A 21973-nucleotide genomic window follows, 5' to 3' on the forward strand; every position below is an offset into this window, starting at 1 on the left:
AAAAGTTGAAATTAAAAAATAAAAGAAATGCTGGCAAATGAAGCCAATAAAATATATTTGGCTACTTTTAATGCCAGCTTTTTTTTCTCATCAGTTTTTGCTCACAGCTTTATTAGGGCATTTTATGGCACTGTTTTGTAGAGGTTAATCTTGAAAAAAATACTGACCTGATAAAGAATATAGTTAGATATACAAGACTATGGGTTTTATGGTCTGTGATAAGTGGGGCCTTGGGTCCAAGAGGGCAAGTTTCTAACAGGCAGACTGTAAATACTGCTGAACTTTACTAAATGATATATAAATTTTTTAATGTATCAGAAGAGTGATGGCATTAAAATGTATACATTTTAATTTTCCTTAAAATCATACTATCAGTTTATGAAATTTATAGCTGATAAATACCTTGTAATACATTCTTATATTTATTCATATATGCCAAAAATATAAATTAGGTTGGTATATGAAACCACAATTAGTTATTACACAGTCAGTGCATACTCATCATGAAAAAGCTCAATACAGAAATAAGGTTAGGAAGGGGATAGTATGAGGATATGTTTCCTTCAGTTTGCAGTTGTTTTCATTGCCATTTCTTGCTCTTGGCTTTAGAGACAGGAGAGTAGTCTTTTTATGCATTGTTGTGTTAAGAAAGAATATGATCCCTTAGAGCTCTGGCAGTCTACTGCTATAAGACACCCTCATTCATTGCCACATCACGTAGCCACAAGCAGGTGGGAAAGGAATGTAGAGCTGCTCGACATTGGGGTTGAATAGGTTTCTGGACACTGCTTCCAAAAGGCAAATCCTTTGTCTTTATGATGGTTTCCAAGCCTTTCACGCATAAGGCATTTTAAAGGACAACTAGTAGCTAATGCTACTTGCCTGTCTTACAATCTTTTCTATTCCATGTACTGTGACAACAGTATTCCATATACTGTGACAACAGATGTCCACATAGGGAGGAGAATGGTTATTATTACAACACTTCATCTTCCCATTAACCCAATAATTAGCAGTTTATTTGTGAAGGAGATCATTTCTAAGGTATACGAGTTGTAACGTATTTTCTCTCGTCTTAAATGATTGATTTGTTCTCAGATTTTCTCTCTTTTGGGGTCCCCTTTTTCTATGATTCTCATTTTCTAAATGCGTTGACCTCCACTTTACCCTACTCATAGGATTACTTTCCCTTCTTATTACTAAGATGCTTAATTTAACTATTCTTTTGTTTTAATCTGCATTTTATCTTAATTTAGTTTTTCTATAATCCCATGACCTTTTGCTTATAACTGTTTAGTATTTAGACCAACTATTGTCCCTAATATTCTCTCAGTAAGTCTTCCTTAATTATGTCAAGTAACATAGTGAAATTTTTAAAAGTATAACATAAATTGATAATCTAAAAATAAAGGGATTTTGAGGATTAGAATCTCTATTGTTATGTAAAAGTGTTGCCTGTTCCCACAGGAACATATGTACAACCTATGTTCCCAAATATGCAAGTGTTTCTACTTTTAATAAACAAAGAATACTTATATAGAGTGTACATATCTATGGATGCACATTTATGTGGAGGCTGTAGGAATGGCAGGCCAGTTTCAACACACATGGAGTCTGAATGCATTGTTTTAAACAGTTGCTTCACTTAATTTAGCGTTAAAATGAATTAAAGCTTCTTTTCAATTACTTAATTCATAGTTACTTATATTTTGAGAGAATTCGCCTATATTCTGAATGGAATATATTTTATATAACTGCTTTTGTATATGTGATTCTTGGCTAAACTATATTGCCAAGATGCAAAAAAAAAATGCATTTAGCTATTTCTTTTAATTTATTCATGGATATGTTTATTCATCTACCCAGCAGATATTCCCTCATTTAGTGAATGGTTGCCAGGGCCATCCAGCAGCCCAAGCCAGAACTGTGGGGAACATTGTTGCCTCCTTCCTCCCTCTGCTTCCCTCCTGATACTCAATGAGTTCCTGGGTTATTACTATTATTTTTGCCTTTTTTTTTTTTTTTTTTTGAGACAGAGTCTCACTCTGTCACCAGGCTGGAGTGCAGTGGTGTGATCTTGGCTCACTGCAACCTCCGCCTCCTGGGTTCAAGCAATTCTCCTGCCTCAGCCTCCCAAGTAGCTGGGACTACAGGTGTGTGCCACCATGCCCGGCTAAATTTTGTATTTTTAGTAGACATGAGGTTTCACCATGTTGGCCAGAATGGTCTTGATCTCTTGACCTCATGATCCACCCGCCTCGGCCTCGCAAACTGCTGGGATTACAGGCGTAAGCCACCGCGCCTGGCCTATTTTTGCCCTCTTAGTATCTCACATTCCTGTAGTGAATCCCTTGTCTAGGTGTCATCCTCTCTTTTCTGGACAGCTTGCAGGACTCCTGTTGGCCTCTTGCCTTTATTTTTATATCCTATCTGTTCTCCAGCTATGCTGCTTGTTGTCCGGGCTGCATACTGAATGAGAAAAGCTTCCTGGAGTTGATATTGGTGCTTCGTTTTAAAGGATGGTTTGGGCTTGGCTATGCAGTTATAACGGAAATGTATTTTAAAATGTTCTAGTAATTTATCTCTTTTAATATTTCCTTATTTAAACATAATTTTAAACCAAAATTGTATTTATGATATTTTAAAATGGAAAGGAACTATGGATTTATGAATAGTTTAAATTTACCAACTACTAAGTTGATTCAACATCTTTTTATTTCTTTCTTTGCCCTAAAGATTCCTTTTCCTTTTTTTTTTTTCGAGATGGAGTACTGCTCTGTCACCCAGGCTGGAGTGCAGTGATGCAATATGGGCTTACTGCAATCTCTGCCTCCCGGGTTCAAGCGATTCCTGCCTCAGCCTCCCAAGAAGCTGGGATTAAAAGTGCCTGCCGCCACCACATCTGGCTAGTTTTTGTATTTTTAGTAGAGACGGGGTTTCACCTGTTGGCCAGGCTGGTCTGGAACTCCTGACCTCAGGTGTTTTTATTTTATTCAGCCCGCCTTGGCCTCCCAAAGTGCTGAGATTACAGGCATGAGCCCACTGTGCCCGGCCAAGTTTATCTGTTGCTTTGGAGACTTACCTAATACAAATTATTGTGTGTCTACTTATGTTATCATTACTCTTAGTAAAATTATAAATGTGTTCCTACAGAATATGGAGAATGGGAAGTTTTCAACCTTTGAGATATGATGGGAGCTATAGACATTAGACAGCAAAAATATTTGCAGATGGATGTGGAGTCAGCTATAAAAGTAACTATGTAATTAAAAGAATGAGAGTTTATTATAATAATTCCTCAACAATGCACAATCTAAGTGGTGTTTACACAATTCAAACACAATTTTGTATGCTAGAAGGAACATACATATGGATTATCTAATTTAAAATAAGATGGATCACATGATATAAGGTTTTGTAAATTTAACTTCTCAGTTGTTTTGTTTTAAATTTCTTGTGATTAGAACATTGGTATGCTTCTTTATATTAATAATTCTTTATGCTTTTACTTTCCCTAATATTATTGCAGAAGTAGTTGTATTGCTCACACATTATTACTCTCACAAGAAACACCATTGTGAAGTTTATATTATCATGATAGCCATTTTACAGAAAACTGGGATAAAGCTTTTGAGCTTTGCATGCGATGATGTAATTAATAAGTGACAATGACAGCATTTAAACATGTCATCTTGGCCAGGAGCAGTGGCTCACGCCTGTAACCCCAGCACTTTGGGAGGCCGAGGCAGGTGGATCACCTGAGGTCAGGAGTTCAAGACCAGCCTGTCCAACATGGTGAAACCCCCATCTCTACTAAAAATACAAAAATTAGCTGGGAGTGTTGGTGCATGCCTGTAATCCCAGCTATTCGTGAGACTGAGGCAAGAGAATCACTTGAACCTGGGAGGTGGAGGTTGCAGTGAGTTGAGATTGAGCCACTGCACTCCAGCCTGGGTGACAGATTGAGACTCTTTCCCCAAAGAAAAATAAAAAGTTTATGTCATCTCATCCACTCACCTTGCTGTCAATGAACAGTCTAAGTAAGCATTTGGACTTAGTAGTGCCCACTTTTTTGTTTTGCTAATTTTCCTTTAGTTTTTTAAATAATAAAGTTTGACTTTTATATCTGAGAATAAATCAACAAACTCTGAAACATCTTATGTAGTAGGGGTCAGCTAGCCTGGGACAATCACATTTATTGAAGAAAATTCACAAGTAATTACCACAACTTGAATATACATGTTTCCACTTCCTGCATTATAATCAGACACTATATTATCTGGACTTATTAATTTTTAGTGTATGTTGTATTTTGTTTAGCATGTATTTATCTTCTTAATCAGAACAGTGTTGTATGCATACATTTATGGATTAAGTATATTTAATTTATTTAATTGTACTTGAGGAAATTCAGTACTGGCATTCTCTGTGGCTTAGTGGGGTTTTAAATTATTACAGAATTTATTTTTAAACTGCTGTTAATTATAGGTTTGGTTTTTTTTTTATAGAAACACACTCAACTCCCAAATCATTGTTTAGCATTTAACTGATCCTACTTAGAAGCACATTGTTTGCATTAATAAAATCTGAGTACATTTTCATTTTTCTAAGACTTCTTTTAACCTTACATTTGTCAAGTGCCCTGGATGATTTATAGAACAGTGCCGATTTATGTATTCTTGACCTTGAGCTTTGTTGTCCCAAAGTTGCTTTTGTCTGCCTGTTCATCAGACTAAACATTGTTTACTCCTACTTCAAATATATTGTGTTGTACAAACATAATACCTATTTTTCTGAATAAACATTTATATCATATCTATTTTTAGAGCTCTATGCTTTGTTTTCATATTCACTATCTTTCTTTCTTTAACACAAGCTAGAAGATCCATTTATAATTTATTGAGGAGTTGATGAGATGAGAGTTCACCTGCTGGTAGCTAAGGCCTTGTAATATGATAATAGCTCTGTTTTGATTGCAGTGTCCTTCAGAGGGAAGGAACTGTTCTTTCAAATTGTTGAGTGAAGGTTAGAAAGAGGACTGGCTGCAGTGGAGGAATTATTCTTAAGTTAAAGATACTTCAAACAGCCTAGGTTCATGGCACATTGCATCTCTTGCAAGAGCAACAGGGAAGCCCGTTGTAGAATGGTGCTGAGAACTAGCCCTGGGTGAACACAGATCCTGATGCTATGCAGCTAATAATTTGCTATTTCAAATGACTGAAAATTGGTTCCAGGGAATTAGACAAGCTTAGCAAGAGGAAAATACACAAATTGCTTTTTTAGCAATTTCTGCTTAACCTCAACCGAGAAAAGTAAATAAATATTTACATCTTTTTGGAAAATTTGAATCTTCCATGATGTTTATATACATATATATTTTTTCTTATTTTGAAAAAAAAGTTTATTGTTTCACATTTTGATATTACCTTTGTTGACTACTCATTAGCTATTATGTAACATTTTTTAAACTTGATATGATATTCACTTAAGCTTAGCCTCAATTTAAATCAAAAATATTAGTGAAATGTTTCACGTGGTCCCAGAGCCATATCGTCCAGGTATCACTGGCCTGAATCTGAACATGGGTGTGCTTTAGAGGGGCTACTGGCTCCTTGGAAATGAATGAAAAAGGTTTCCATGAGGAAGAATTTTATGAATGCCACATTATTTCTCTTATAATCTTATTCGGTGATTCACCATAATGATGCCATTAAATATACTGGAATTCCAGTAAGGGACATAAAAATAAATTTACTTAGAAAGGAAACGTCTTCTATAAAAGACAAACATTTAGTCTTGTCTACTACCAAAAAAACCCTTCATGGCTTTGTTTATGATATTCACGTATTTTATATAAATTAACCAATGATCTTATATATTTTTTTCCTTTCAGCATGTGGAGAAACTCTACAAGAATCCAATGGCAACCTTTCCTCTCCAGGATTTCCCAATGGCTACCCTTCTTACACACACTGCATCTGGAGAGTTTCTGTGACCCCAGGGGAGAAGGTAGTTTATACCGTCAAGCCCACTATTTTATTCTTATATAAGTACAAAAGTTCATCATCCTTCAAATATAAATTTGCTTTATCCTTTATTCTTGTTTGAGTTTTCAAATGGACTAAAAAGTTCAGAAAATTCATAATGGGAATTGCTTAAACTCCAGGAATTTTTTTGAAAGATATAATTTTAAACTTTTTGATGCAATAGGAGGGTTGAAATAATACAAATTATATTCTCAGACACAAATGAAATTGTGGTAAAAATCAGTATCAGAAAGACGCTTAGAAAAATCCCCATATATTTTAAGATTTAAAAATATATATCTAGATGTCCAGTTCAACCAGGAAAAAATTATAATGAAAATTGTAAACTATTTTCAACTATAATATCAGAAAAATATTGAAGACCAACCCTGTAAAATGCAAATAGAGTAGTACTTAGTTGAAAGAAAATTCACAGACTTAAATACTACAGTAGGAAATATGAAATTCAGACCTCAAACTAATGAGCCTAGACGACCATATGAAGAGGTTAGAAAAAGAGCAATAAAATAAAAGATATTTTAAAAGTAAATAGTAAAAGATAAAATTAATAACATGAAAATAACATATGATTGGAAGTATGAACAAAGTTGATAGTTTGAATTGATTAAAAACAACAACAACAACAACAAGGAAATGGGTCAGGCGAGGTGGCTCACGCCTGTAATCCCAGCACTTTGGGAGGCCAAGGTGGGCGGATCACTCGAGGTCAGGAGTTTGAGACCAGACTGGCCAACATTGATGAAACCCTGTCTCTACTAAAAATACAAAAATTAGCCTGGCACTGTGGCACACAGCTGTAATCCCAGCTATTCCGGGGGCTGAGGCAGGAGAATCACTTGAACCCGGACAGGGAGAGTGCAGTGAGCTGAAATCCCATACCACCACTGCACTCCAGCCTGGGTGACAGAGCAAGGCTCTGTCAAAAACAAAAACAAGGCCAGGTGCGGTGGCTCACGCCTGTAATCCCAACACTTTGGGAGGCTGAGGAGGGTGGATCACCTGAGATTAGGAGTTTGAGACCAGCCTGGCCAACATGGTGAAGCCCCATCTCTACAAAAAATACAAAAATTAGCTGGGCATGTTGGCATGTGCCTGTAATCCCAGCTTCTCGAGAGGATGAGGCAGGATAATTGCTTGAACCTAGTAGGCGGAGGTTGCGGCGAGCCGAGATGGCGCCGTTGCACTGCAGCCTGGACGATAAGAGCGAAACTCTGTCTCAAAAAAAAAAATAGACAAAAACAAACCCCAAGGAAATAGATGAAAACATGTCTGATCAAGAAAGATGAAGAATAATAGAGAAAGCACAATTATCTAACATTTGGGAAAAAAATTTAAAAGATTGTTAGAACCATAGAGTCTTTAGACAACAAAATGAGAGTAAAAGAATCTTTTGAACATTATATCAATAACTTAAAAACAATGAGTAAAATGGGCAAATTTCTATAAAATGTTACAACTCAGTTCTTATTCAAGAAGAAATTAAAAAGTATTCACAATAGCAAAAACATGGAATCAAGCTAGATGCCCGTCGATGGTGGATGGGATAAAGAAAATGTGGTACACATACACCATGGAATATTATGCAGCCGTAAAAAAGAATGAACTCATGTCCTTGTAGCAACATAGATGGAGCTAAAAGGCCATAATCCTAAGTGAATCAATGCAGGGACAGAAATTTAAATACCACAAGTTCTCATTTATAAGTGGGAGCTAAACATTGAGCACCCATAGACACAAACATGGGAGTAATAGACACTGAAGACTACTAGATGGGGGAGCCTGAAAAGGGGGAATGGGTTGAAAAACGACCTATGGGTAGTTTGTACTTTGTCTTTGATTCTTATTTACCTGGAAGAACTTAAGTACTCTCATTAGCCGTGGTGGGAATGCAATTGCAATTTTTTTAAAAGTTTGATGTTCTTGATGATAACTGAATGGTATTAGGAGATAATCATGGGTATGGAGTTGTCCAGGATTTTGTAATATTCGCAGTGGAAACTCTAAATGAAATACTCATGTAACATAAATAATTTTTAGGTGCAAAAAGTTACAACTGACTTGGAATACATGAATGCATGCATAGTTCTTGATATAATTTAAAAATTATAAGTGTTGTAATATGATCATAGGTGTTGATCGATTTTTATTTAAGTTCTTTTAACAAGAGCCAGAAAATATATTCTGAAGGTCATTCTTACTACAACACTGAAAAGTGAACTTTAAAAGATACAAATTTTGAGAACAAGTTTAAAGTATACATGATTTTAAAAAGAAAACCTCATAGAATATGAAAAGTTTGGGAACAAGGTTAATCAAATTAAATTGTTTCATAACAGCAAGTTAATATCTGGGAAAAACATTTCTCCTGTCCAATTCCAAAACTCTCGCCATTAGCATTGAGCTAATTTATTTTTCTTGTATGTATGATTATCTATAAAACTATATTTCCAAAAATGTTGTAAATAGGAAGAAAAAATCTATCATCTATTATTTTTCTTAATATTATTTATGACGATTAGCAAATAAATTGGAGTGTTATAAGAAGCCAGTGAACAATTTTAACTCATTATAATCCTCGTGTCTTTATTATTTTCTTATTTTCTTTCTCCTAATATTTGGTTTCATTCTGCTGGGTTTTTTTTCTTACTTCTTGAGCTGGGAATTTAACTCATTAATTTCAAGCATCTTTTCTTTTCCAAAGCAGACACTGAAGGCTGTAATTTTCCCCTCAGAAATACTTTACCTGAATTCCACCAGCTCAAAATAGAGGATTTGTTATGTTTCAATTCTACTTTTTTCTATTGTTATTATTTCTTCTTAACCCACATATTTTTTCAGTAATGTGTTTTTCTTCTTTGCAAACATTGTTTCTTCAATCATCCTTTTCCTATTTATCTCTCCTTGAGTCACCTTTAGGTAAAGCACTATCTTTGTGTGTCAGTCTTTGCAATAGCTTCAGGCTGATATGACCTTGGAAGTGACTAGTATTCATAAGACTAATCTTTGCTTTAAAAATATGTTTTGTGCAATGGTTGGGTGCATCATCTTAATTGTGATGCTCATAGATTCTCTATATTATTGTTTTATCTGTTTATCAGATATTTACAAATATTTGTCACTATGGTAGATTTGTTAATTGCTCTTCATAGCCTTGTTAATTTTTGTTTTATATATGTTTATGCTATATCATTTTATACACATGTTTACAACATTTTATCCCCCTGATGTATTAAACTATTATCACTGTATAATGAATTTCTTTATTTCTAGAGATGGTTTGGGTTAAAACTCTATTTCGTCTATTATTAATAAAGCTACACTTATATTTTGATTAATATATTTGCCAGGTATATCTTTGTCCTGTTCTAGACATCTAGACATTCAATAATTTCCAACCTTTTGTTTCAGGTATCCAATTCAGTTTATTTTTATTTAATCAGTGGATGGCAGGTTTTGTCTTTAATTATAGTGCTTATTTTAATTCTATTTATTGTGACTATTGGTGTGTTTTAGACAGTATACAGTCCAGTTTATTTTTCGTTTAACCCATGATGGCAGGTTTTGTCTTTAATTAGAGTGCTCATTGCAGTTCTATTTATTGTGACTATTGGTGTGTTTTTATTTCTTATTTGCATTTTAATACATCCCTTTTTTTGTTCTCCCCCTTTGCCTTCTTATGCATTGAATTATGTTTTTTTATCATTTCGTATTTTTCTCTCTACTGGTTTGAAAGTTTTAAATGTATACTCTATCATTTGGTACTCTCTACCAGCTTTCTTTCTTAATCAAATTATATTTAATTTGTATCTTTAGCCTCTTCCCATTCAAAAAAGGATCTTATCCCAATTCAAAAAAGGATCTTAAAACATATAAGATTATTCGCTTTTTATAAGATATTGCTTTGCATATTTGTTGATACCTTTTTTTAATCAAGCAAATGAGACACTATTGTCTTTTGCACTTAACATTAGTTTTACATGTGCAAATGCTACCATGGATTTTTGTTATTTATTGTGGTAAAATAAACTATAATATTATTGTGGTAAAAACTACATAGCATAAAATTTACCATCTTAACCATTTTTAGGTGTACAGTTCAGTATGTTAAGTATATTCACTTTGTTGTGAAACAGATCTCCAGAACTTTTTCATCTCGCAAAACTGCAACCCTATACTCATTAAACCCAACAAATCCCTTTTCCTTCCATCCCTTTGTGCCTGGCAATCATCATTCTACTTTCTGTTTCCATGAATTTGAGAAACTTCATATGATTGGAAGCATAGAGTATTTGTCCCTTTGTGACTGGACTATCTCACTTAGCATAATGCCCTCAAGATTCATCCATGTGACATGATTTATTTTTTATGCCTGAATAATATTCCATTGTATGAATACACATTTTCTTTATCCTTTCATTCATTGGTAGACATTTAGGTTGCTTCTACCTCTTGGCTATTGTGAATAGTGCTGATATGAACCTGGGATTGCAAATATCTCTCAGAGACCTTGTTTTCAAGTATTTTGATTATCTATCCAGAAGTGAGGTTGCTGGATCATATGGTAGTTCTATGTTTAATTTTTTAAATAACCTTTATACTGTTTTCCATAGTATTTGCATTATTTCACAGTCCTCACTAAGACTGCAAAAGGGTTCCAATTTCTGTCCATCCTCACCAACACTTGTTATTTTCTGTTGTTTTGATAGTAGCCATCCTACTGGGTGTCAGGTGATATCTCATTGTGATTTTGATTTGAATTTTTCTGATGACTAGTGAACATCTTCTAGTGATAACTTGGGCATCTTTTTGTATGCTTAATAGCCATTTGTATATCGTCCTTGTAGAAATATTTATTCAAGTCTTTTGCCTATGTTTAAATCAGATTATTTGATTTTGTCTTTCAACTGTAGAAGTTTTTATATATTCTGGTTATTAAGCACTGATTAGAGATATGATTTGCATATATTTTCTCCTCCTTCACAGGTTGTATTTTCACTCTGTTGATTGTGTCTTCTGATGAACACAAATTATAAAGTTTGATGTCATACCACTTGTCTACTTTTAGTTTTATTGCCTGTGCTTTTGGTGTCATAGCCAAGAAATCATGGCCATATGTAATGACATGAAGTTTTTACCCTGTGTTTTCTTCTATGAGTTCTATAGTTTTACAGTCTTATATGTAGGTTTTTAATCAATATTGTGTTAATAGAAACCATTCTTGTACATGTGGATATCCAGTTTCTTCAACACCATTTGTTAAAGATTTACTAAATGTTTTTATTCAGCATTCCTGCTCATGTTTCTGACTTCTATTATGGCTTATTTTGGTCCTGCCTATAGCTTACATTATAGATTATTTTTTAAATTAGCGTTTTTGTTTTTTTCTGTTTGAAAATGTGGATTTTTTACATGAATTTATAAAACTATAGTTTCACTGGATATAGTTGGCTGCACATTTAACTTTGTTTTAAATAAAAGCTTGCAAAAATACCTTCATTTCAAACATTTTTAATGTACGATTTTGCACATTAAAGTTATCAAAAGTGATTTAACAAGCACTAAAAATTTAATAAGTTAATACCCATGTAAAATGAATGAACAAAGAATTACTCATAAAATGAAGCTGCTTAAGATGATTTCTGAAGGCAGTTTTCCCAAATTCTTGGATACCTCTCATGTAACAAAATGTATCTTAAACGTATTATAAATCAATGTGAAGTCCATTTATTTATTTTTTAAACAAGTAAAATTCTGAAAGGCACACCTCATACAATCCAAAAAAATAGAACTATGTACGGCTTATTATATGAATATAAACACATGACTGTTATATAAATAAGTTAAATCAAGATGTATCATTTATAAATTTTATAAATTATGGCGATTGCAAGGTCTTTTTTTTTTTTTTTTTTTTTTTGACATGGAGCCTTGCTGTGTTGCCCAGACTGGAGTGTAATGGCATGATCTCGGCTCACTGCAACTTTCACTTCTCAGTTCAAGCAATTCTTGTGCCTCAGCCTCTTGAGTAGCTGGAATTACAGGCATGCACCACCTCACGTGGCTAATTTTTGTATTTTTAGTAGGGACAGGGTTTCACCATGTTGCCCAGGCTGGTCTTGAACTTTTGAGCTCAAGTGATCTACCTGCCTCAGCCTCCCAAAGTTCTGGGCTTACAGGCATGAGCCACTATGCCCGGCTTTAAGTTTTTTTGATTCCAATAATATGAGTTTATTTCAATGTTATAAAATATGTTAATTTGAAAAGTAATAGGTCAAAATTTAGCAAAAACCTGTCTCAAAATTTCCACAAATACTGAATGAATTAGAATTCAACGTATAATGATAAACAATTGAATAAATAGGAGTAGAAGGAATTTTTTAAAAATACAATAAATAGAAAAAACCTAGTATTTCTTGAGTGCCTACACTACACTAGGTGCTGTGCCAAGCTTCTCTAATCTTCTCAGCACCCTACTGACATTAGTACTAGAATTATCTTCATATTACAAAGAAATTGAAGTTGAGAAAGGATTGAGTAACTTATCTAACGTCACACATGTGGCATCTGACATTTGCCAGAGCTAATTATTAAATTTTTCTTTAGTTATAGAGAATGTGTTTTTTCTTTTCTCTAAAATCAAAATAATCAACCAAAATTTAAGCAAGACTAGAGATATTCAAATAAAAACAAATATATTAAAATATAACATATTTTAGAAAACTAGAAACTTTACTGTGGGACTAAAATAAGCAGAATAACATGTCATGAACCGAAATGTAAAAGTGTAGTATTACAAATTATCAGTTCTTGTCAAATTAACGTATAGTAATTCCAAATTAAATTCCAATAGATTTTTGTTTTGTACCAGACCAAATTTTTCTAGAGTTTATCTTAAAAATAAAATAGTTGGCAAATTCACAAACAATGGTAATATGGGGGAGTGGGTTGCACTATAAGATAGAAAAACATTATGAAGCCTCAGTAATTCAAATTCTGTGGCAATGTCAAAAAGTCTTCTGTATCAATGGACAAACTAAAAAGACCAGAATTATGCCTGAGGGCATAGAAGACTTCTGTCATATACTTGTAAGGATCATTTTTCAAATAAATTGGGAAAATGGATTTTCTCAGTAAATAATACTTAAATCATTTTAAAGGATATGTGAAAAAATTAAACAAGTTCTACTTCATATTGCATAGTTTTCTAAAGAAAACAATGCTTTATTTGCTTTCTGAAAAAGATTATGTTGAATACATGAGTTGAAAATAAGAAAATTTAAAATAACTTGTTCAGATTATCCACGTAAAGTTGTTTTTATAAAAATACAAAAAGCACAAATAAAAATGAAAACGGAGACTATTATAACACATAAGGATGAGGGACCATTGGGTCATTCATATGTAAAGAGCTGTTATAAACTGATAACTAAAGATTCACCCCACAGCAGAAAATGCCTGAGAAAGTAGAAAATTTAGTGAAGTATCAATGCAAGTAGATATTCAATGAATATATGAAATTCTTTAATCTTATTCTTTATCAGAGAAATGCTATTTGAACTAACAATAATTTGTCATATTTCACCTGTAATATTGGTAAAGATAGAATTGAATGTTAATATCAAGTGATCATAAAGATACGCAACTCCTGAAAGTAGAAATTAAAATAACCTTTTAGAAGCACATTGGGTAATTTGTATTACACTTTACAAAATGTACCTGCGCTTTTGCCCAGATATTTATCCTAGAACAATTATCTGAGTGTGTGCAAAGGCAACTGTTTATTATAATAGTGAAAGTTGGAAACAAAATAAATTTTGAAAACTTAAAGAAAACTCTGATTTGAGAAAATGTTTACAATATATTATGAAATATTTAAGGCAAATCAAAAGTTAGTGGTATGAGAAGTTCTGTAATTTAAATTATGTACATTAGAGACAAATTTATGGAAGAATATATAAGAAAATGATGCTTATTTCTACCTGCTGAGTTTGCAAATAGTTTTTATGTCTTCTTTGTTCCTTTAAAAAATTACCAGCAATAAGCATATGTTATTTTGGGCAAGAGAAAAATATTGTCTTTAAAAAATACAGTCATTGTAGGACAATGATGTGAATGTACTTAATGCACAGAACTGTATACATAAGTATGGTTAAAATGGTAACTTTTACATTGTGCACACATATTATACCACAATTTAAAAATAAGGGTTTCAGTTCACATGCATATCTTTCTTAGATTGAGACTCTCAAAGTACAGAGGGATTTCTGTTCAATCTAAGGTTATCCTTGATGTTGCATGGTTCATGCTGGCAACAATCCAAAATGTGCAGCGAAGAGGGTAGCTGTGTTGAGCTGATAGAAGCGCATGGTATTGATTCTTGCATCCCTTAGAATTGACTAACCTTTGAACAAGGGCAGATTGCTTATGTCTTGAATGGACTTAATATTTTCTATTTTCCTATATAACCCATTTAGAAGCTATTGACTATTTTTTGCAGATATTTCTTTTTAATCACTCATCTATGATTTACACATATGGAGTGAATTCGCAGTAGTGTATTTATATTGCCAAAGACATTGCTTAAATTTAGCAATTACTATTAAATTATTCTATTAAAATAGATGTATCTTTTGATGTGTGAAATAAATTATTGCTATTATAAACTTATAACCTAGTAATATAATGGTTAAACTTTGAAAAATAACTGAAAAAAGAAAATACAATTTATCATGGACTTTAGGAAAGCTCAGATCTTGTTGGAAGATCCATGCATGACTGAAGAGATGGTAGCATTCAATAAAGATTTTGAGCGATATGAAGAATTTCAAGGAACAAGGAAGGGGAAAGTAGAGTCCACATAGAATTATGTTCACTTTAAGTAAAGGAATGGGAATAGAGCTGAGATTGGAATACTTTGTCAGAGCACAATAGCAAGCAGTTAGGGATGAGTGGGATGAAGTTTATGTGCTTGAGATAATGAAAGATGAGGCAGCAAAATTGGGTTATGACTAGAGTCATTGATTCCAAAACCTTGATGGGAAGCAAACTCTATTGAGATTACTATGGCCATAAAGTGTAGGATGAAATGGAGAAGAGTAAAATTAAAAGCCAAAGCACATCTTGTGAAACTATTACATTATATTCAGAAAAGAAGTATAGCCAGCATTGACATGAAAAAGGAAAAAGAAGTGGAGGAGTATTTTTAGGGATATTATAGAATATCACCTATAGGATTTGACAATTAACTAGATGTAGGGGTGTAGTGGGAATTTAGGAAAGAGAAGTCTGAGTCCATTAATGCCTCTATAACAAAGCTCCTCAGACTGAGTAATTTGTGGACAATAGAAATTTATTTCTCACTCTCAGAGGTAGAAGCTGGGAAGCCCAAGGTCAAGGTGCCTGTAGATTCAGGTATCTGGTTAGTTCTCATTCTCTGCTTCTTCTTGCATTCTCACTTGGCTGAAGGGTTGGAAGGGACAAAGGGATAAAATGATGAACCTGTTTCCTCAAGCCCTTTTATCAGGGCACTAATCTCATTTCTAAGGGCAGAGCCCTCCCGGCTTAATCAGCTTCCAGTGGTCACTTCTTAATACTATCACTTTGAAATTTAATTTCCAACATATGAATTTTGGAGGGACATACACACTCAAACCATAGCGAGAGGTGTAAAAAATGTTCTGATGACTAGTGAGTGATGATTCATCAAAATTTCAAAGTCAGATGTTATCACATAGGTTTAAGCAGAAAAGTTATTTTAATAGAATAATTCAGCTCTTGGTTTCCACCTGTCATCAAACTGATGTTTGTATGTTTCAGAGCATAGATGGAATAAGGAAATGGAGTAATACCTTATTTTATATATTTTTTCAGGGTTTATATTGTGAGGAATGTCTGAATATATACCATGAAAATAATAATACATAAGAATCTTAATAGTGCTTTGGGATTACCTGAGTATTTTTCTCCACATCATTCAATTAAACTCTTGCGAGTTAATTCTGGTGAGATAAGCCTGATATGGTGACCTCCCGTTTACAGCAGTTAAGATTCATTCAACCTCAGAATGTTTAAGTAAACCAGCGAACTGAGAAGTTAGAACTTGAACCCAGGTCTTCTGACTCCCAATCAAGAATAGCTTCCAGATGTAGAAAAAGTTGTATTTTTTTTTTCCTATAACATGATATAATTTCAGAGCTGAACAAAAGCTTAATGATCAGTTATTCCAGAGACTGGCAAACATTTCTGGAAAGAACATAGAGTAAATATATTGGTTTTTGCAGGCTGTACAGTATTTGTCACAAATACTGATTTCTAACATTGTAGCATTGAAACAGACATAAACAACATGTGGTAAAGGAATGGTCCCGATAGAACTTTTACAGAAACAGGCTTCAGGCAGAATTTGATCCATGGGTTATAGTTTACTGATACCTGATTTACTCTCTCTCAGCCTTATTTCTGAGGCAAAAAAAATATCGCCACTCTGGAAAGTTTACTAGACTTGTGCAGGCTTCTTCTGGCTATAGCATAGCAATCTAGTTTATCTTGCTGCTTTTTCAGTCTAATTGGCAAGGTTTGTACATTCTGTATCTTCAGCCTTATAAGGTATGGTGCAAGTATTACGCTAATTGGCTTTTTTTGTGGTGCTCATGGAATTTGTTTAGGTAGCCAATAATATCTTAATTGTGCTGAAAAAAGTTCATTGATTATATCTTTCTCTGGAGACTCACAGACACCCAGTCCCTTGAACTGCTGATCTGCCTTTCTTCAGGATTCTTCACTCTCCAGCATTGGAAAACAGTCTTTAATAAGCACAATTGGCAGCAGTGACATCTATTCAACGTTGCAACTTAGACTCCTAACAGATCACAGGAAATCTTAAAATTGTTCCCTCAATCTCATACTCCAAGGGAGCTATAATTAATTTTGAGTTGTTACTTATACTTACGTCAAAAATAAAATATTTATATAGTTGTGTTTTGTATTTTTCATTTGATCATTCTTTGGGGAAAGATGCAATATGTTCACGTAAAATAACATAATGTAAAACAAGCAGATATTTTCCAAGTGTGTTTGATTTGTTATTCAAGTACGAATCCTGCTAGCAACCTTAGTCAAAGGCCAGAATTTTATGTCTATAATCAGAGCCCTATGATTTGATTTTAGAAAACCTATCTTTATTACATTTTCTGCTTTTAAAGGACTCTGTGTTTTATGTTAATGTCAGGCCAGTTATGTTCCTCCATGGTGCTTGGTGTTTAAACTAGAAGATTAAAAACAAGTTAGAAAAATTTTCTGCTTAGAGTTATCCCTATCCAACTGTGTGTGTGTGTGTGTGTGTGTGTGTGTGTGTGTGTGTGTTTCAAGAGAGCAAATATTAACTATTTCTTTGCAATCCAAATGCACTTTTTAATTTTGGATGAAATTGATAATACACATACTTCTAATTTAGCTTTATTTTTTTTCCTCATGAAGAAGGCAGTAGAAGCTATTTGCATATCATTATAAAACTACCCTTTCAATCTAAGAGGGAAGCCAGAACGTGAGCCCTGGGGGAGTCTCTGTTTGTGTCTATATTCAAGTTTTGCTGTCTCTGTTTTAATAAATGAGTTCTTATGTAATCATATAGAGTTGAAACCTTGGTGGTTGCTATAGGGAAAACATAAATGCAAAATGAAACATAGTATCAGGCAGTGATAGTATTCTCCATGTGGAGCAGACTTAAAGTAAACACAAAGTTAAAGGGAAAAACCAGGTATTATTTCCTAGTTATATCCTGAATATAGTCTAATGTTGCGTTGGTATTTAGAGATGTAGGAGAAAATATTGTGGGAAATTCATAAAAATAAATTAGATACTAAAGCATTTTGATAATCAAGTGTTGAGGATTATTGGTAAAAATGATCAATGCTTTGCCTTTGGATATTTTGAAAATTTTTGTAAACACTTAAAAAGTGGAACCTTACAATGAGGTGAAGAAAAAGAAAAACAGAAAAAAGATAAACTGCAAAGAGGGAAGATAAAAATAAATGAACAATTCTATTAAAACCAATTTATGGCCAGGCACGGTGGCTCATGCCTGCAATCCCAGAGTTTGGGAGGCTGAGGCTGGTGGATCACCTGAGGTCAGGAGTTCAAAACCAGCCTGGCCAACATGGTGAAACTCTGTCTCTACTAAAAATACAAAAATTAGCTGGACGTGGTGGCGGGCACCTGTAATCCCAGCTACTCAGGAGGCTGAGGGATGAGAATCGCTTCAACCCGGAAGGCAGAGGTTGCAGTGAGCTGATACTGCTCCACTGCACTCCAGCCTGGGTGACAAGAGTGAAACTCTGTCTCCAATTAAAAAAAAAAAAACTTATTCCACAACTTAATGTACTACATTTTTAAAAAATTCCACCCCTATTTTCTTATCCTTGGCAGATTTCTTTCTTTGTTACTAGGAAAGTACATGTTAGTCTATATGGATATTTGAAACCAACTTTGGTGTACAGTTTCATCACTGATCACTGTGGTACCTAGATATGAGATGCCCTGAGAAATATTTATAGTTATCCTGTGTCATTTGGGAAAGAAGTAAGTTCATTCAGCATTGATTTGTAATAATTAGTGCTTACCTTGATGTTAAATATTGTGTTCAAGAAAGGGGAGAAGCATATACTTTCCAGCACAGAATTGGTAATACTTCTCTAGAATATGGATTCAGTATTGATTATGTTTTTATTTTCCTTCTTTCTTTCCTTCCTCTCTCCTTCTCTGCCTTTCTTTCTTCTTTTTTTCTTCCTTCCTTTGTTATTCCTTGAGACTTCTTTCACATTCAGCCTTTTGTATTTTCACAAAAGGGATTTTTGAATATTGCTACAAACTATAGTTTTGTAGTAGGAGCATTTGGAATACTCAACATTTGTTGCTTTTGGCCAAAGTCCATCACAATTTCTAGAGTAGAGAACTGGCTTACTATGAGCCTTAAGCATCTCAGATGTTTTAAGCAGAATAGAGTTAGAATGAGTTTTTGAATGTGAAAAAAAAAAAACCAGATGAATTCCTTTGCATCAGATAAGCATACTTCTCGCGTAAGTTTGGCTTTACTTTTGGTGTAATCAAGTAAGAAGAAAAAAGTTGTTTGGAAAGTAAAGTCCATTTATAAAGCAGTAAGAAAGTTGTCTTTCCTAGAATTGTCTCTTGAGTTATCTTTACGCAACAGCATCATTTTGAAACAAAGCACAGAATAAGGGTCATGTACAAGATGCTGTAACTTGAAAGGTCTTTGTATATACATCTTTGGATCTAGAGAAACATAGTGACATCTGCCTTTGATTATCATTAGATGGACAAATTCTAATTCTAGGACTGTATTTAAAACATTTCAACATGCACAATGATATTATATGTTCTGGGAAAGTGGCACATGGTGGTTATTTTTAACATAATTATAGATGTCTGACTGGTCATTTTTGAAATAAATTATTTTTTAAAAGACTTTCATGAAAAAAATAGAATTCTTCATGGCTCAAGCCATGTTTATCTTGGGAAAATTCAAAATAAACTATTTGAATAAAAATTTCTGTTTGCTTTACAATTGTCCAGATTAACTTTACAGAAACTTTTTGTTAATTGCTAACATATCTAGTTTGTTCAACTACTCATATTGTACTTCTCCTGACATTGTAAAACAGTTAAAGAAAATGGGAAAACATGGTTTCAAGGTTTGGTTCAGAAAAAAACTATTAGGATAATTATAGTATAGAAAAACAATTAGCTGCACATGCATTTTTACTGTAGACCAGGGTTCCTTACCTTTAGGAATCAAATCACTATATGTAGATACAATCATTTTTACTCTGTGGGTTGCTTACCTCCATTTTGCAGATTGTTTTAAATTTTACAACGATGGATCTATACAAGAGTAGTTTGTGCTGGTATGACTATATTGAAGTAAGAGACGGGTACTGGAGAAAATCACCTCTCCTTGGTAAGATATCCTTTCCCTTTTATGTGGCTATGTATCTATTCTGTCCCGTCCAAAAAAACCAACCGATTCTCTCAAGAGTCATCGTAGAGTTAAAAATGTGTGTGACTAACATTATTTTTATGTTAGTTATACTTTTTTCAACCATACCAAAAATACTCAAAGACAAATGGATAAATACATTGACTGATTAATTAATTTGAGCTAGCTTAACTTATGAGGTACATACTAGGATTTGAATATAATGATTGAGAATAGCTTTCTCATATATTGTGCCTATCATGAGTACTCCTCACAGTGTTTCTGTATTTTTGCTTTAAAAATCAGTTTTTGATTAAAAAAAACTAATTGTGGGTGTTCATGTTGTGTGTTTGTGTGTTTTGTTTTTGTTTTGTTGCTAAGCCAGTATAATGTAAACTGTTAGGTACATGTTTGGTAGCTGGCTTCCTATGCCAAGCATATTAACTCTTATTATATTATAGATGTCACAATTTTGCTTCTCAGAGAGTTTTCTGTGGCTGAGAAGAGACATTTGTAGTTTGTGTCATAAACTGTAGCTCAGATCTGGTGCTCATGAAAGTCTGCTGTCAACGTTTAACCACAGACCACACTATTAACTTGCATAGGCAGTTTACTGTTGCCCTCTGTTTTACTTAAAGGTGAGAGCTGTTTGGAGCATGCAGGCATCTACTCTATATTGATCTTTTTCTGAGATTGTAACTTTTTCTTTACTTTTAGAAGTAGTTTTGCTCAGTTGCATTGATGAACTGTACAGCTCTTTTAACATCTAACACCTACTGAATGGGCACAATTGTATTAAAAGTGACAGCAGCCATAGTAAATCCAAGAGATCTGTAGAAATATTTAAAAATAAAGAATTGAACTAATGTGGTAAGTCAGGTTGAGGAAAACATTGTCTTCCATATTTAGTTTCTTAGCCTAGATGAAGCAATTTTTTACATATGTATGCACAAGCCAAAGAAAATATTTCATTAAACTCATATTAGAGAAACAAATCTAGAGCTAAAATTCTGAACGACACTTCTTTTTAGAGCACCATCAGCATTACATGGCTCAATGTATAATGGACCACCAGAGTGAGGCAGTGTAATCATGGTTTTTGTGTGAAAAGCTTTCCTTACTATTTCTTCTAAGACCTTGCTCCAAAAAGTGCAGCACTTAGATTGGTAGCATCAAAATCATCTGGAAAGCTGTTAGAATTGTAGAAACTTGGCTCTCACTCTATATCCTCTGAATTAGGGTTTGCATTTTAATAGATTTCCTAGAAATTCAGATGCACACTACAGTTTAAAACACACTGCTCTGTGTTATCTGCCTCTAATTTGCTTTGCAATTTAGGACAATATGTCTTCACCTGTTAGCTGTTAGTATGAACTTGCTTTATGCAAGTCAGCTACATTTTTCATACACTAAAACTATGTATGCCATTTCCAGAGACACAAAAATGGATAACATGTTTGTAGAATTATTGCATGTGCTTTGTTATATTTAAGCATTTTGTGATCATGTGAAAGCTTTGAGCATAGAGGCAGACATAAGCATAAATATTTGTGGAAAGATAAGGAAGGAAGGAATGACAGGTATTATATTTATTTGCTGTAATTCATATTTCTGGATACAGAATTAGAAGAAATTAGAAATTATGCTCAAGTCTTCTGATAGTATTTGTTATTCTGCCTAAACAGATATAATCTACAGATTATAGCTTTATAGATGAGATGGAATGTGTGCAGTGATAAAAGATACCAAGAGTAGCCTTGGGGTTTTCCTCAGGAGTGCTGTTGAACCTAGGTGAATAAAGAACTCCACTTTGAGCTGAGAGCACATTCTTTCTTTCTTTCTTTCTTTTTTTTTTTTTTTGAAATGGAGTCTTGCTCTGTCGCCAGGCTGGAGTGCAGTGGTGCCATCTCGGCTCACTGCAACCTCTGCCTCTCGG

At 33.7% G+C, this 21973-nt stretch overlaps 1 protein-coding gene across 2 annotated transcripts in view; it reads left to right on the plus strand.

The window, feature by feature from the left end:
• The window catches only part of TLL1 (tolloid like 1), a 231221-nt gene that overhangs the window by 146186 nt on the left and 63062 nt on the right, over window positions 1-21973 (plus strand). Inside the window, exons 9-10 of one of the 2 annotated variants that reach the window (NM_012464.5) lie at window positions 5894-6009; window positions 19917-20019. In NM_012464.5, the coding sequence (NP_036596.3) occupies window positions 5894-6009; window positions 19917-20019 (219 nt within the window). Of the gene's footprint in view, window positions 1-5893; window positions 6010-11030; window positions 11538-19916; window positions 20020-21973 lie in introns of those variants that run through there. The other variant, NM_001204760.2, reaches the window with a different exon arrangement.

The sequence above is a fragment of the Homo sapiens genome, chromosome 4 (assembly GCF_000001405.40).
Source record: "Homo sapiens chromosome 4, GRCh38.p14 Primary Assembly".
Classification (NCBI taxonomy): domain Eukaryota; kingdom Metazoa; phylum Chordata; class Mammalia; order Primates; family Hominidae; genus Homo; species Homo sapiens.